This window comes from Homo sapiens, chromosome 2 (assembly GCF_000001405.40).
Source record: "Homo sapiens chromosome 2, GRCh38.p14 Primary Assembly".
Lineage (NCBI taxonomy): Eukaryota > Metazoa > Chordata > Mammalia > Primates > Hominidae > Homo > Homo sapiens.
The window spans coordinates 210,628,234-210,645,620 of record NC_000002.12 but is presented as its reverse complement, the minus strand read 5'-3'; the positions used below and the strand labels follow the sequence as shown (position 1 = coordinate 210,645,620).

General features: G+C 36.5%; 1 protein-coding gene across 6 annotated transcripts in view; it reads right to left on the bottom strand.

Moving 5' to 3' along the window:
- CPS1 (carbamoyl-phosphate synthase 1) overlaps nt 1-17,387 on the bottom strand; it is a 201,423-nt gene that overhangs the window by 33,487 nt on the left and 150,549 nt on the right. For all 6 annotated transcript variants that reach the window (NR_161225.1, NR_163592.1, NM_001369257.1 and 3 more), the window contains 4 exons: nt 7,778-7,919; nt 6,406-6,471; nt 5,562-5,625; nt 2,956-3,137 (listed from right to left, as the gene is read on the bottom strand). Coding sequence is in view for 4 of the 6 variants with exons in the window: in NM_001369257.1 (NP_001356186.1) it covers nt 2,956-3,137; nt 5,562-5,625; nt 6,406-6,471; nt 7,778-7,919 (454 nt within the window). In the remaining 2 variants the exon portion in view is untranslated. The remainder of the gene's footprint in view (nt 1-2,955; nt 3,138-5,561; nt 5,626-6,405; nt 6,472-7,777; nt 7,920-17,387) is intronic.

Genomic DNA, 17,387 nt, shown 5'->3' with positions numbered 1-17,387 from the left:
TAGTAGAGATGGGGTCCAGGCTGGTCTTGAACTCCTGGCCTCAAGTGATCTACCCTCCTTAGCCTCCCCAAATCCTGGGATTACAGGCGTGAGCCACCATCCCCGGCCTGAACTCAACTCTATAGATTGTAATTTCAACTATGCTGAAACTAATACACTTTCAGCTATGCTGAAGTAATAGACCAAATATTAGAATCTTAAGTTAACTCTACTTTTCTGGCTCATTTCAGGTGTAGTTAATGTTAAAGAATAAGAGAAAAGCTATTTTTAAAAAACTACTTTTTTTTTTTGGAAAGTAGTAGAAAAGCTTTCAGCACAAAACCAAATTCTCATCATTGACGACTAGAATCAGAGACCATCAATGGGAAGACAAATCACGGCCTCAGGAATCTTTTAGAGTAACAGTGTGATGGTGTCGTGCAGGTTTTCCCACAGGGCAAAAGGAATTCAGTATGAGAACATGTTTGTAAAATGTTAATATAGCACAGTTTTATGGAATAATCCAATCTCAAATTGATCCAACACCAAATATCACGGGACATGTAGGAACAAAGGGATGAGAACCTGGTAACCCACACAGGTAAATCATCATCCTTATCATAGCCATCAGGCCTGAATAGTTTCAAGAAATCTACTGAAATAAAATATTCTAAATTTCAAATATTGTTTAATAGATTTCTAAAATATTTAGGCCCAAAATTCCATTAAGCTCCCAAAATTCCATTAATCATACCTAGATCTGTTTGCATCCTTTTTACCCATCTTAGTTTTCTGTTTTTTAAAACCTGATATCACTAACTTACCATAGCACAAGAATATTTCTGAACCAGAAACTTATTTTCAATAGAAAAACATGAAAAGGAAATACTTCAAGCTTATTTGAGAACATCTTAACTTATCCTGGCCACTAATCACTTTGGTTAGTCCTTATTTTTATGCACAAATTAGATGTATTATGGAAAGAATGTCATGTGAGAAAATTTTTCTAACAGAAGTAGTATTTGCCTCATTACAAATGGCCATGGTTTTTGGAATTTTATGAATTATCTCCAATTTATAAAATTCTACTATCTGTACACCTGCCAATGAGAAGGATGATGCTTTATATTTTACTAATTTACATGTTAGTAAAAATGATTTATAGTTTAGGCAGTATTTTAGGATTACATTTAATTACAATTAAACCAAATGATATAAATGAACCTCAATTCTGTCTCGAGTCATGCATTCTCTAATGGGTTTTGCCTATCACTAATTAATGTCTGTCATTAATTCATTCATTTAACTTGTTTTGTGACAGAAGTACCATTGTCTACATTTACATATGTACATCATATTATGTCCGCCAACATATTTTAAATTACCTCCTAATATATAGTAATACTATATTTTAAATACCAATTAGTTTCAAAGAAGGGCCAACTTCTTTCTTTCTATAATACTGACTTCAGTTTTAATAAACAAATCTCATTAATAGCCATGTATAATTGTATCCAAAAGCAGTCATAGAAGTTTTTCATCTTTCTTTAAACCATTTCATGAGGACATAATTAATTATATGCAAAATGCCTGCTGCTATCATCTGTAATGTTTTTTAATATTTTTAAATTAGTATTTGACTTTTCACATTTATATCACAGATACTAGTTTTATTGTTAATGTCTTGAAGATAAGAACCTGTTTTTCCAGCTGTCTATCATACTGAACCTGGATTTACAAGGTGTTCGAGAAATATTTGTGGGATGCACTTATTTTGATCCCCACCTGTCTATCTCAAATGAATATTAAGGAGTGATTTAAAAACAACCATGTCAGAGAGAGGTCTAAAAAATGCTATATATTCTATTTAATGGATCAATTTTATTAAAGGATTAGTAGGCCAGGCCCAAGTAGACAACTATAATTATACATCCTTCCTAAACTTGTCTACTTTCTTTTGTAATAGTAAAATAATAACATTATTCTAGCACTATACTTTATACTTTACAATCTGACTTCGGCCATAAACTCTATGTTAACTTCACAGTATTTGCAAGTAGCATGTGTTTATACTCAGACGATTCATTTAAAATAAAGATAAAGCACGGAGAATTTATGTAACTTAAAGAAATCAATGAGGTTGTCAGTCAAAACTAAAATTTAAGTATTTTGGTTCCAATTTAGTACTTTTTTCCTTCTAATTGACCATATTTTCCACATAGAGATGATTTTCTGGTAAAAAGTAATAATAACTGTAATAATATCAAAGGCCTAACTACTGGACATCACTAAAATTTTCCAGTAGCTTTTATTTTAATTATAAGATAATTTATTTTGTTCTACAGTCTTATAGTAATCTGCAATCACATGAATTCACAGTGAAGATACTCAGTAATATTGGGATGGGAATGGAGGAACAACTGTAAGTGAAAGCTATAAAGGAAGCAAAATTATTCACAATGAACTCATTGATCTTAAACTGAAGACTAATGGCTTCATCTGATGGAACAAGGAATTAACTGGTCTTTTGTGAGCAATTGACTATTTTCAGGGAACTGGAACTGTTTATCATTAAACCACATCACACAAACTAGAAAGAGGCTGTTTATTGTATGTCTAGATGACCAATTCAATCACTCTGCAAGATATTTATGAGGGATCATCTTGTATTAGTTAATATGTATCTGGCACATGTTACCAAGTAGAGTTTTCAATCTAGCTGAAACCCTTAGAAAGAAAATGTAAATAAAAACTTTATGTGAAAAATAATCACTCTGGGCCAGGGGCTCAAAAATATAAGAATGGAGTGATTTTTTTTAGAGTTTTACTACAAAATAAGACAATGGATGCCACTGGCAGCCCTTTCTTCTAAGAGGAATTACTATATACATCTATATACCAGAATGCATATATATAAAGTGTATACTACATATATCTGTCTTCTTTTTTCTTTTTTTTCTGTTTTTCTTTTCTTACCTCCTGATGGTAGATGTCTAGGATTCTCTCCAAGGACAACTCTTCAAAGTACAGTTTGTCACACTCATCAAAGTCTGTGCTCACAGTCTCAGGATTGCAATTCACCACCACCGTCTTCTTGCCAAGTTGACGCAGTGTGCGGATACTAGAGACAGCACACCAATCAAATTCCACACTGCTGCCTGCAGAGACAATGAGATTGGCAAAAGGGATAAGAGAAGCACGAAGTTACAATACAAAGAGAAGCAGAAATGTATCACCAGTCAGTCCAGGCTAAGGAAGCTAATGATTTTCAATTCAATTTTTTAAACTCCAAGATATAAATTTCAAACCCATGATGCATACTGTATTAGTAGTAGGAAAAATGGGTACTAATTAAACAGCAAGGAAATATTGGGCTTGTCATATATGCTAAATTCTGCAATAGAAAATCTCAATATTTGAAGTATTTAGAACTTCAATGTTAATGGGAGGTAATTTTAATGATAAAAATAACCCTCACTTACTGAAAAGAAATTCAAAGTGAATATATTGACCTCAATACACAAAAATAGTTAATCCAGTGATGAGGATACCTGTGCTCTTTTTTCAGCCTTTCCACTTAATCTGCTGTCTGAGGGCTGAACCTAATGATCCCTGAGGTGCCTTGCAGCTCTGACATATCCTGATTGATTGAAGAGTCCTATCTTTTCCAAGCATATCCTTTTAAACTTGGCAAGGCCACCCATGCAGAGTGAGTGACCTTCTATAAAGAAATCTGAAGTGTAATAATGGCCTAAACACCTCAAAATATCACGTCTACTGGGATGCCATAGAATTGAAAGTCCACAGACTTGTACTAATTCTTTGCATTAAGATATTGTCTTCTAAAAATTCTTGTGAAAACACGTTATTCAAATATACTGGCATATTAATGGCAACTATCAAGTAAGCACACACTTGATTATTAGCTTGACTAGTCTTCTTTGGATCCTGATATAATGCAGAATTACTGCATGAATAGGTAAAATTTGAAAAGGAAGAAAAAGTACTCCAGAGAGTAGACAGGTAGATGCTGGTGAAATGGTCAGGCTATTTCACCATAAGATAACTGCCATGGCCTGAACGTGTCTCCTGAAATCCATGTGTTAGAACACTTAGTCACCAATGCAACAGTGCTGGGAGGTGGGGCCTTTTAGGAGGGTTTTAGTTCATAAGTGCAGATCCCTCATGAATAGATTAATGCTGTTATAGAAAAGCTTGCTAGCTGTAGTGGCTCCTGCCTGTAATACCAGCACTTTGGGAGGCTGAGGCAGGAGGATCGCTTGAGTCCAGAAGTGTGAGACTAGCCTGGCCAACACAGAAAAATTCCATCTCTACAAAAAATAAAAATAAAAATAAGCCAAGCATGATGGCACATGCCTATAGGCCCAGCTTCTAGGGAGGCTGAGGTGGGAGGAGTGCTTGAGCCTGGGACATCAAGGCTACAGTGAGCCATGATCATACCACTGCATTCCAGCCTAGGTGACATAGTAAGACCTTGTCTCAGAAAAAACTGGGGGTGAGGGTTTGATGGAGGGAATTTGTTCCCTTTGTGCTGTTGTGCCTTCTGCCATGTAAAGACAGCATTCCTTCCTTATAGGAGGCACAAGGTTTAAGGCGCCATCTTAGAAGCAGAGACCTATGTCTCACCAGACAACTGAACTTCCTGGCACTTGATTTTGGACTTCCCAGCCCCTAGAACTGTGAGAATTTATTTATAAATTACCCAATCTCAGGTATTTTGTTACAGCAGCACAAATGGACTAAGACAATGACTAAGGTGGTAAAGATATAACATTTTTGTCCTACTTCAAGATTTGTCCAAAGATTGGTAAACTAACATATCCTGAAGCTCTTAGTTCATTGTAAAAACTAAATAAACTATGCTTAAAGTAATAGAATAAGATTTAAATATATTCAAATCATAGATTTTTATCATTTCCATATTATAATGCTTTGTGGAGATTAAATATTAAATCCATATGTTGACTAATATCACTGTCCATTAAAATACATACTTGCATCTGTAATAATCTTTAGTGGTTATTTAATTGACTGGAGAGAAATGTCATATCTCTGGTGATTATGTTTTAATTCACCTACATAATGCTCTACCCATGCACCAAACAGACAAGATTTTTGCATTTGAGGTAAACGAAAGTCATATATGTTACGTAGGATGAGGTCAGAGGTGGTATCTGCAATGTAATTTCTGGCTAATGTATAAAGTCCTTGAGTAAATGTAGATCCTTATGAAAAACTATGCTAGAAGATAACAGGTCAAAATCTAATCCATTCCCAACTCCAGTGAAAGGCTCAATTCAGTTAAAAAGGATGAAAATTAAGTTACACAGTGAAATGAGAGGAGATAGAATTTGTAGTTGAGACCTGCATTTGAGTCCCACTCTACCACTAAATAGCTGTATATATTTGGGTTTTATTTTTCTGAACCCCAGCTTCCTAATTTGCAAAACATATATTACAGCATTTATTTGATATAGTTCTTGGAATAATGGAATTAACATGTATGAAGAAAACTATATAAATTGTGTAAAGTCCTATATACACATAATTTATTATTTTACCAATGTGATATGGACCACAGCCTAGCACCATCATTCCATGGTCATCAAAATTGACATCATGCTCCTGAGGAAATAAGAAAAGGAAGATGCAGAAATCATTAAGTGTTATTATTCCATTTAATTAAACTAGTTGTCCTATCATTAAGTATGTATTTCTCATCTTCCTCTTGTTAACATGTATTCTCTATTAGTCTCTGGAAACCCATAAGTATAAAGTGTTATACAAGCCCTACTTATTTATAAAAAATAGATATGGCAGAATTTTTTAAATTAAATAGTCATGAGAACATAGCATAATTGTATGATCATGTAGTCATTGTCCTTAATTTTTCATTTGTTTGATTTCATTATCTTAAGGCAGTTCTTAAAAGACTGAGTACAGAAACATATCATCATACCTGACACACATGATGCCTTTTTTTTTTTTTTTTTTTTTTTTTTGAGACGGAGTCTCGCTCTGTCGCCCAGGCCGGACTGCGGACTGCAGTGGCGCAATCTCGGCTCACTGCAAGCTCCGCTTCCCGGGTTCACGCCATTCTCCTGCCTCAGCCTCCCGAGTAGCTGGGACTACAGGCGCCCGCCACCGCGCCCGGCTAATTTTTTGTATTTTTAGTAGAGACGGGGTTTCACCTTGTTAGCCAGGATGGTCTCGATCTCCTGACCTCATGATCCACCCGCCTCGGCCTCCCAAAGTGCTGGGATTACAGGCGTGAGCCACCGCGCCCGGCCATGATGCCTTTTTTTATTACCTAGATATCCAAAGAGGTAAAAAATATATATTCCCTAATGTGAACTGTCTATGAAATCTAGAGCTTTCTGGATAGGCCAATTTGCCCATTCCTACCTGACCATTGTAGGTAACATAGAGATAGTTTGTTACTGATGGGTATTCTGCAGCCAGTGTATCAATCTGTAAGAGAAAACAAATAAAATAAACAAATAAGAATGTTATTATAATTTTTTCAAGACTAAATTTTTTGTGCTTTATATACATATTCCTTTAATTCCTATTACTGTAAAGTATGCAAACAGGAAAATGTATGACCCGTGGAATTGCTTTCTAATTCTGAAAATAAGAGAGAGAAAATAGTGATGTGGTCTAGTTATCACCTGAGAAACAGGGCATTGGATCACTAGTAGTAATAGTAACTCTCATGAACATCGCAAAGTGGTCCTATAGTCAACTGGTTACTAGGAAGACTTACCCCACCAGCTCTCTAAAAGCAGCTGTATATGAAATCTAAAATCTGAGCAAAATGACCTATACGTAAGGATCTCTTTGGCTTGCAAATTAATGCGCAGGATTTAAGTGGCCTGTGGCACTGAGCGGTGGGATGACACAACTACCATAAAGCCATAGGGGATGAACGGGGGGAGAACAAGATCTCATTGAACATATTTGGAAATCAATTCCACTCTCAAGGGCCAGTAACTCAGCTTAGTGAGCAAGAATTTGGGGCCGACAGGGCAAGCTGGTGTAAGGCAGGTGAGAAGGAAGAAAGATAATAATCGCTGAGTGGAAAATATTTAGCAAAAAGCTTGAGACCTAAGGGTATGCACGTGCCCCTTGAGCACACAGTGAAAAGTCAATGATTTTAAAGGACAAAAACCAGCTGGTGGTACTTTAAACTAAGACATCCCTTCCATTAAAGGCCAAAGGAAAAAAAATCACAACAGCACACCTATGAATGTTCATGCGTGATTGTCATGAATACTAGATGAGCTCATTATGCCCAGCCCTATCACAATGAATACTAAATGAACCATAATCATGGGGCACTTAATATAAAGTATTACCCTGTAAAAAGTTACTGCCAAAGGAGATAACTATTATTTTCAAGAGGGTCAGCCACCATGCTAGGAAATTTCAAGTCCTTCAATTACACTAAGGATTTCTTAACTACTTACATATTTGAACACAGGTCAAAAAGCAGAGGAGAGTTTAAATTTTTGTTTTGTTTTGTTCAGTTAGGCCAAGAAAATCAGGTACTCACTCTTATCTTTACATCCTAGTGTCCTTTCCTTCTTTCCCTTTTAAGTAAAAATTAATCACTTGCTGAATAAAATTGGTGACATTATGAGCATCAACCGGATGAGTATTGTCACTTCTTAATTCCACTCCTCTTTTTATTAACAATGGCCTTTTGAATGGGTGCCTACGTTTTACCACAGAAATCCTGTCAGTGGGGGATGGGGGAAAAGGGAAACTCCTTTACCTGTTTAACCCAAGGGTGGATGTTTTTCTTTAACCTCAGCTCCCTTGTCTGGGCCTCAGTGAGCCCAAGGCATTTTGAAATCTGCTTATCTGAGAACCCAATCTCCTTTGCCCTTTTCAGGGTTTCTTCTGTCATGGACTCACTAGGATTTAATAGAAAAGAGAGATTCAAGTTTAGACCAAAAACAATAAAAAGCGGTGACAAGTTCAATTTCAAGAACACCAAGGGCTTCTTATTTTCCACCTTCAAACATATTTAAGTCTTGTTATCTTTTAAAAATACACAAATAACTAACCCACTCAATCTTCTAGCCTCTATGAAGTCTTCTATTTGCAAAGCTGACAATCTCTGATCTCCTGCTTTCACACTCTATGCGACCTCTTCCCTGCTGCTTTTATAAAAAATGGCAAGTGCATTTACTGTTCTAATAAATGTGCTCATTAGTAATAATCAGAGACCTCACTCTCTAAATCCAGGAGCCCTTTTTCAGTTTTCATTTTCCTCAACCTGTCATCACAAGACCCTTTTGATGATCTATTTTTTAAAAAGATATTCTGGCTTCTACTAAGTGGCTTCTCGCTCTACTTTATTACTCAAAACTACCATTTACTAGTTTTGGGTTTCCCCCTACCCCTACCCACGGCTCTACCCTTTGTTACCTGCTTTTGTCTTCCCTCTCTCCCTCTCTAAATTTAGCCACTGTCATGGGTGCAAGTAGCATGACTGGTTGACAATTCCCAAATCCATGGCCGGTTCTCCAACATCTGACCTGTGCTCCAGGTCTTTATGCATATGAACTTTGAGAATCATCTTCACCTAGGTGTCCCAACATTGCATCAGTTTGGATATCCTCTCCCTAAATTACCTCTACTTACTAATATCACCCATCTGTCTATGTTGAGAAGACAGTTTTGTCATTTTATAATTGTTTTCCACTCAAACTAGATTTGTCTTATTTTCCCCCTACTCCTTTCCATAGCGTAGACTTTATTTGTGTTGTTTCTCTCATCTGTAATACCTTTAACATTCCTTTTACCTTCTCAACTTCTCCCTGACCCTCAGCAGCCCTTCAAAGTCCAACTAAAGCCAAGCCTCATTTGTGAAGCCTTTTGGTTTGCTGTCATCCACACTGAACTTCTTGTGCTTTTTACTGCCTCTTTTGCTTGGAACGATGGACATAGAATCATACAGTTTAGCATGTCCATTATCACCTGATACTTTTAATGTCTCCTAACTTTTATTCGTCAATCAGGCTTTTTCCTGCTGGATTTAAGTTCCATAAAGGCAAAGAATACATTTGGCTTATTTACCAGATTACTCCCCAAATCTACCACATTATCTGGCCCACAGACAGCATTCAATAAATATTTATGAAAATAAATAAATGAAGGATAAATATAAGTAATATAAACATATAAATAAAATGCATATATTTTATAAATTAAATGTAAATATAATTTATGAATATAAATTATAAATAAATGAAGGATAAATATAAAAACTTCAATTCCCTAGGTTTTTATTTTATAGAAAAGACAAAGAAGTGATTGAAATTAGCTCATAACTAGATTTCAAAATGCATGCAAAAATAATTTGTAAAGAGCTAAGGGACAGAAGAATAAAATACTACTGTAAAAGCATCTTTAACCAGATACCTGTGGGCCAGCTATTTCATGTAATTGTTAATACAATACAATTCAATTATAATAGTTTGATAGTCAATACAATGAAATTAAAATAGTGTATTGCCAGAAGATCTAACTTGCCTTAAGAAAACATTTTCATGAAATGCTGTTAATAAAATGTAATTGGATTAAATCTATTGCATTTTGTTCATTCTAATCATGAATCTGCTTTAATTAATTCATATTCTGAGTTTGGAGAAGAAAAAATCAAGCTGGTGTATATAATGGCTATTTCCCTGGATTTCCAGTGTCAGTATTAGTTTAAATTTTTGCAGCTACAGCTCTTCCTAGTCAATTTGCTTTTTCTATTGCACCTAAATTCTCTTCTGTCTCAAATCAGTGTGTTAAATCTCCCATTGAATTTAATTTCTTCTCTTTTTATTCTTATTTTGAATTTAGTTTTCCCAAGTATTTGATAAGCATTCTCTCAGAGCAATGCATTTTCCTGTCAAATTCTTGAATGCAATCCAATATTAAGTATTATTGCTGACTTAGTATGTGTGCCAAGCCCTGTGCTTTAGAACTGTGCCATCCAACATAGCAGCCCCTAGCCACATGTGGTTATTTAAATTGAAAAACTAATTAAATCTTTTAAGACCAAAAATTTAGAGCTACAGTCACCAAAGCCAGGTTTCAAGTGCTCAACAGCCACACATGGTCAGTGGCTCCAGTGTCAGACAGTGCAGATTACAGAATATTTCATCATCACAGAAATTTCTACTGAACAGTGCTGCCCCAGAAGATAAGGAAACAATATTTGAGACAATGAAATGATAGTGATTCAAAACACTTTATGGAGGGATAAGCTATGTGGTGCTACGTGAGGCCAGAGAAAGATAATAGTGTGAAAGGTTGTACTTGAGAAACACTACAGCAGTGGAGGGATGAGAACAGAGCTATAAATAAAGTTCAACTTGGCCGGGTGTGGTGGCTCACACCTGTAATACCAGCACTTCGGGAGGCTGAGGAGGGTGAATCACGAGGTCAGGAGTTTGAGACCAGCCTGGCCAACATGGTGAAACCCCGTCTCTACAAAAAATACAAAAAGCTAGCTGGGCATAGTGGCAGGTGCCTGTAATCCCAGCTACTCAAGAGGCTGAGACAAGAGAATCACTTGAACCCAGGAGGTGGGGGTTGCAGTGAGCCGAGATCACGCCACTGCACTCCAGCTCAGACAACGGAGACTCCACCTCAAAAAAGAAAAAACAAAGTTCAACTTTATGTAGATAAAGGAGTTGACAGGTGTACAATAGGCAATGGCAACAGTATTGGCTATTGTTTGAGAGCAGCAGTGGACATGGCACGTATGGGAAACATACTGAGGAAACTGGATGGTGAGGGTAGCCACATTCATTGTCATTACTGCTTTAACATTTAGTGAGTACGTGCTCTGTATCAGACCTGTCCTGCCTGTATTAATGATGGAAGATGAAATATTGTACTCTTACATTTAGGAGGTCAGAGTATGTTAGGAAGCACAAATAGCCAATGATATGTCTACATCATGAGAGGTGCTGTGGGAGAAGTGTGCACAAGTTGAAGCCGTGGCTCAGGGCAGGGGACCCCAGCTGCCAATGGAGAAGTCTGGAAAGGCTTTACCCCAGAGGTGACTTTAGAGCTTCAGAGAGCCTTGGAAACACCAAAGTTTGTGGTTACTTTTACTTTCAAGAAAAAGAGAGAGAGAGAGAAATTAATTTTGAAAGTAGAGGAAACATTTTTTTTTTCTTTTGAGACGGAGTCTCGCTCTGTCGCCCAGGCTGAAGTGCAGTAGCAAGATCTCGGCTCACTGCAAGCTCCGCCTCCCGGGCTCACACCATTCTGCTGCCTCAGCCTCCCGAGTAGCTGGGACGACAGGTGTCCGCCATCACGCCTGGCTAATTTTTTGTATTTTTAGTAGAGACGGAGTTTCACCGTCTTAGCCAGGATGGTCTTGATCTCCTGACCTTGTGATCCGCCTGCCTCGGCCTCCCAAAGTGCTGGGATTACAGGCGTGAGCCACCGCGCCTGGCGAAGATTTTTTTTTGTTATTGTTGTTATTTGTTTTAGAAAGGTATGTTTCCACTTTCCTTGCCAAGAATATGCTCCCAAACCAATTGCTCATTTGTTTATGTGCAAGTATGCACTCAGCCTTTCGGTGGAAGTGCTTGACAAATAAGCGATTTTTCTAAATTAGAACAATAACCACTTTTACTTAAATGACTAAAATCCTAACTCTGAAGAACAGTCATCCAGATACACTTAAAACACATGCCTTGAAAAGAACCATCACATCTATAATTGTGACCATGGGCTAACACGGCAGCACCATAAGTGCGGGTTCTTCAAATGCTAAGATAAGCAGAAGTCATGTAGTTATCTTTAGCTTTTTCAGTCAGGTTTTTCTATTTGTTTGTTGTTGCAATTTTTAGAGGGTCTTTAATTATTTGTTTGCATTCCTTCTTACATGGAATACCAGTCAGGTTTTCAAAGGTCGCTATGTTGTTTAAAATGAAAATTATAAATAATGGTATTAAATAAGAAAAAATTAGATTCCTCACATTTCTATTAGGGATGCAATAAATTTGCATTTGTGTCGTCTACATTCAGCAATGCAGTATTTTCATTCAGGAATGTAGTATTTTCATTTCTGGAATATGCATAATTTCTCTTGTTCTTTTTCACCACAAGAGTCTAACAGAATGTATGTAGACATCTCTAGCAAATATACAAAGTCTTCTGCCTCTACCTACTAATAAAACTGAACACTTATCAGCAAAGAAATAAAAATAATAAGAAAGAAGGGAGAACGAGAAAGAAGAGAGAAAAGAAAAAGGTTGATTGATAAGAATTGGCCTTGTGCATTAAAAAGTGAAGTGAGTTAATTTTGTACTCAGCTCTGGTGACGAAAAAAAAAAGCCATCTGTCACTAAGACTAACTCAACTGTTACTGCTCCCCTGCCCATAGCATTTCCCACACCAGAGAGTTTTCATAATTTAAAGAAAATGTCTGAGAAGAGCAACAGTAACACAAAATAATGATTGTGAATGATACTTCAGAATGGGAGTGAAAACTTTCTACATAGGCATCCCTTTAAATCATACTAGGTGAGAATTTTGAAACAGATGTATCAAGCTAGACCTGCACCTTGCATATTTTAATCTCACTAGTTGATTCTTAGGACATTTTCTTGGTGAGCCAAAAACTGCTTCAACTTCTGCCCAATTTTCAAATAACTAGATCAATAACAGAATACAATATTTTTAAATGTCTTAAAAATTAGAATGTATTAAATTGAAATGGTATATTAGTACATTCATGTTCATCTACCTTAACTTGAATACAGATATTGGGTATGTGTGATCATTGGATGTCCAAAGTAATGTAATTTCTATAGTATTTTGTTCATGGTCTCTCTGGTTATTTCTGCTCTTTAGACATGATCATGAAATAGTGCAAAACACTTAGCAATCCTCCTCACTGAGAAATCATTGTTGATACTGACCCACCAGGGCCATTAGAGAGGCACAGGCAAGTTAGATCCCTTCCCACAGTCAGTGCTGCCTAATTCCACAAGGTACTCCTAATGGAAGCAGGTCAATTCTCTGTATTGTCCTCACCTTTCCTCTCCTCTGTTTTCTCTCTTTGGTGTAACACCAGGCTGGCTGAGATGTCATTATACACAGTAGAAAATTGACTTTAGTCCCAGCTTATTCTGATACAAAATTGTATTGTGTGTCCCATTATAATCAAAGAAAAAAAAAGACAGTTCAAAGACACAATTCATTAGTTGTGGGGCAGTGATTTAGATCAGGTTAAATCTCCTCAGAGTCAAATAAATACAAGATGCATAATCTTAAGCAAACATAAAGCTCATTTAACAATGTGGAGACTCAGATAGATGTTCCTCATCTTTATCTGCCCACATTATGCTCCCTCCATTTTGTTTGCCAAAACCAATTTCCATCATGGTGGGTTTTTGTTTTTGTTTTTTTGATCAAACTAGGTAAAAGCTTATTTTCAAAACAAGGCTATAACATTTTTATTTTTCTGAAGGAAAATAAAAACCTTAATTTGAAACAAACTCAAAACAGAATAATTACTAAAAGAAATATAAATACTGAATTTATAATTCAACACTGCTTTTTGAAACCTCAATAGGGAATACTCCATTTATATTATGTTGTAAATCAAGACAGCTTTATGCCCAGCTAGAAATGTGATCAGCTGAAGAAAGCATATTGCACAAAAGCACACAATTTTAAAATATGCATAATAAATTATCCTTCTGTTCTTTGATATATATTTGTATGTACTAGTATTTTATGTTAATTTTTACTCTTTTGAACATATACACATTAAATCCATATTTCAGAACTGTGTCCTCTAAAATATGCTATTATATATACAACTATTCTTTCCCGTGCCAGTTTGCCTTGCTTTGAGAGTTCAAGGGCAAACTTTACAAAAGGTTAGACTTTCATCATTGCATAATAGAATCTATACAATAAAACAACACACCAAATGGCTGTGATGCTGGCCTTTTCATAATCTTCAGTTTCTTTCTACTTAGCAGCACAAAATGACTGAAATTTTAGAAGGTGAAAAAAATGTCTTAAAACCAGACCATCAGACTTTTACACACTCTGCCATAATCTTTTAATGGTGAGACAGCATGGCTCGGCTTCTATAGCAAAAAGTCTCTGGTGTGTTCTCTGGTTTACAAACAATACAAGCCTTTCTCCTCATTCTCTAAGACTTCCAATGTAGATATTGTTGTTGTTGTTTAAAATTCCTCCCTGTCATCTCTGAAATTTCCTCCACTCACACTTAGTCTTCAATAATAAATGATAAAAGGAAATGGAATAAATTCCCCTTAATGAGGAAATTTTCACCTGGCACAGAGGAGCTGGGGAAATCTATTAGCTGACTGGAGGAACGCCTGCAGCATTCTAATTATCAGGGGAGCCAGCGCACTTCACACAGTCCTCTCTTCCACTTGACTGGCTTTCATCTGATCCACCAACTCACGAGTAATACTAAACCAAATTTCCCTCCAGATTGCACAAGCTCTAATGTGAAAATGAGCACTCCACCTGGCCTACAATTATGGAATGGGTTTGCAATTTTATTATTATCCTCTTTAAAAAAAAAAAAAAAACACTCCAAAAGGCAGAAAAAAACTAAGCCTGACGTTCAGTAATGACATCTGCTTTAATAAGAGAATTGAGTAAGATATATGTTCTCTGACTCATGAACCCTCACTAGCCTCTCTCTTGAGTTTTTTACTGCTTCACTTATTATTTTTGGCGTTTCACGGGTTCAAGACCATGCCACAATCACAATAATGCCATCAGTGGAGAAATTATTTGTCACCTCTCTTCATTCAAGGAGACAAGTTGCTATGTGTTTCCTTACGAGAAATGCAAAAGACAATTTTCAAAAATAGAAGTGGCATTTAGAAAAGCAAAGTATAAAAACCCAGGCAATTGGGTAGGCACTACTATTTTGTCTTAATTTTTGAGTACCATGGCTGTTTCTATACAGGAATGAGGTCTTTGAAGGAATTTAAGAAGACTTGAATCTTTATATTTCTTGTACAGAGCAAATAATACCTAGATCCAATGTTCACGTGACAGTATGGCATCAAGAAAATTATCTAATAGTGCTAAGTGGACCCAGATTCTATCACAATAATGCTAAAATGTTACAAGTAATAGTTTTCAAAAAATGGCATACTTAAAACTATATTTCACCTTAAAGGCTAGTAATAATAACAGTAAAATCAACATTAAAAAGGAAACCTTATGAGAAACTGATAATGTAGATATCTTTAAATAGGCAAGTTTTAATTTTCTGAATTTCCTGTTCTTTTTTGCTAATCTTTAATGACCCTAATAATCCAGAAATATCATGATATTACTCTTAATCTGGTAAAGCCACTCATTTAGTATTGAATATAATGTCATAATTATGCTCTATGAATACAAGGAATAATGATGAAGAAAAACGCTTAATGTAGGTTAATTGCAATTTTTGAGCCATAATAAACCACATTTTGTTTTTTCATGGTTTTGTTTTTTTTTTTTGTTTTGTTTTTTTGTTTTTTGAGACATAGTCTCGCTCTCTCTCCCAGGCTGGAGTGCAGTGGCAGGATCTCGGCTCACTGCAAACTCCGCCTCCCAGGTTCACACCATTCTCCTGCCTCAGCCTCTCGAGTAGCTGGGACTACAGGCGCCTGCCACCACGCCCGGCTAATTTTATTTTTTTAATTTAATTTTTTTTTTGTATTTTTATTAGAGTCGGGGTTTCACCGTGTTAGCCAGGATGGTCTCGATCTCCTGACCTCATGATCTGCCCGCCTCAGCCTCCCAAAGTGCTGGGATCACAGGCGTGAGCCACCGAGCCCGGCCCATGGTTCTTAATTTAAGATGCAATGACTCTCTCTCTGCCCTTGATTTTACCAAATTTGAATTTTACCATTCGTCTTTACCAAGATGAAAAACAAATGGAAACTGCCTAACCAAAGTAGTAAGTTATGTCAATTCGTATATAAGAAAGTGTTCTGGCTGGGCGCGGTGGCTCACGCCTGTAATCCCAGCACTTTGAGAGGCCGAGGCGGGCGGATCACGAGGTCAGGAGATCAAGACCGTCCTGGCTAACACGGTGAAACCCCGTCTCTACTAAAAATACAAAAAAATTAGCTGGGCGTGGTGGCAGGCGCCTGTAGTCCGAGCTACTCGGGAGGCTGAGGCAGGAGAATGGCGTGAACCCGGGAGGCGGACCTTGCAGTGAGCCGAGATCGCGCCACTGCACTCCAGCCTGGGCGACAGAGCGAGACTCCGTCTCAAAAAAAAAGAAAAAAAAAGGATGCTGATACCAATCAAATAGCTTTTGCTTGAGCCAATTGGATTAACGGGTTAAGTCCATACTATGAAATGTTGCTTCTGTTATTTCTGATGAATACATTTATTTATAATTTTAAATCTATTCAATGTATGCCTTCCCCAAAATAAAGAAGATGTATTCAGTAAGCAAAACTCTGGATTTTCCCCTGAATATAAGATTTTTATGTGTACAGAATTTAAATCTAACAGATAAGAAGAAACACTTTATAAGGCCTCATAGAAAATAGGGATTGAATGGGCACTCTTTGATGTTTTACAATTTGTTATTGCAAATAAATTTATTTGAAACTCCTATATTTTAAAACATCTCCATCATCTTTGTTTAAATCATCATGTTTCCACAGAGCAGTTTTCCAAACATCACTTAGGTTGTACCAAGCAACAAATATATAAATATATTTCAATATATCTTTCTTTGACTTCTAGAAAGAATTACTTAGAGCCTTGTTAAAATAAATAACTTTTTTTTTTTTTGAGATAGAGTCTCACTCTGTTGCCCAGGCTGAAGTGCAGTGGCGTGATCTTGGCTCACTGCAACCTCCACCTCCCCAGTTCAGGCGATTCTCCTGCCTCAGTCTCCGAAGTAGCTGGAACTGCAGGCGCCTGCCACCACGCCCAGCTAATTTTTGTATTTTTAGTAGAGACAGTATTTCACTATGTTGGCCAGGCTGGTCTCAAACTCCTGACCTTGTGATCTGCCTGTCTCAGCCTCCTAAAAACTTAACAGAAGCCTATCTACTAATAACTACTGCTTATTTTTTTCCTAGAAAAATGTAAGATATATAAGAATAATTTTTGACTACATTTTTCTAGTTCTTGAAGGAAAAAATGTAAGCCATTTTTAGAAAGGAGGAAAAGGAGAAGTTATTTTTAGGAGGATGTGGGAAAATGCTAGAATTAAATTCCTGGTGACATGTCATATTCAGTCTATGTTGATATGAGGCTTACTACCTACATGGAAAGCAGATATCTTTATTATCTGGGGTTTTTCATAAGAAGACATAGAAAATGCACATTAAAATCCATGAAAGCAAAAATTA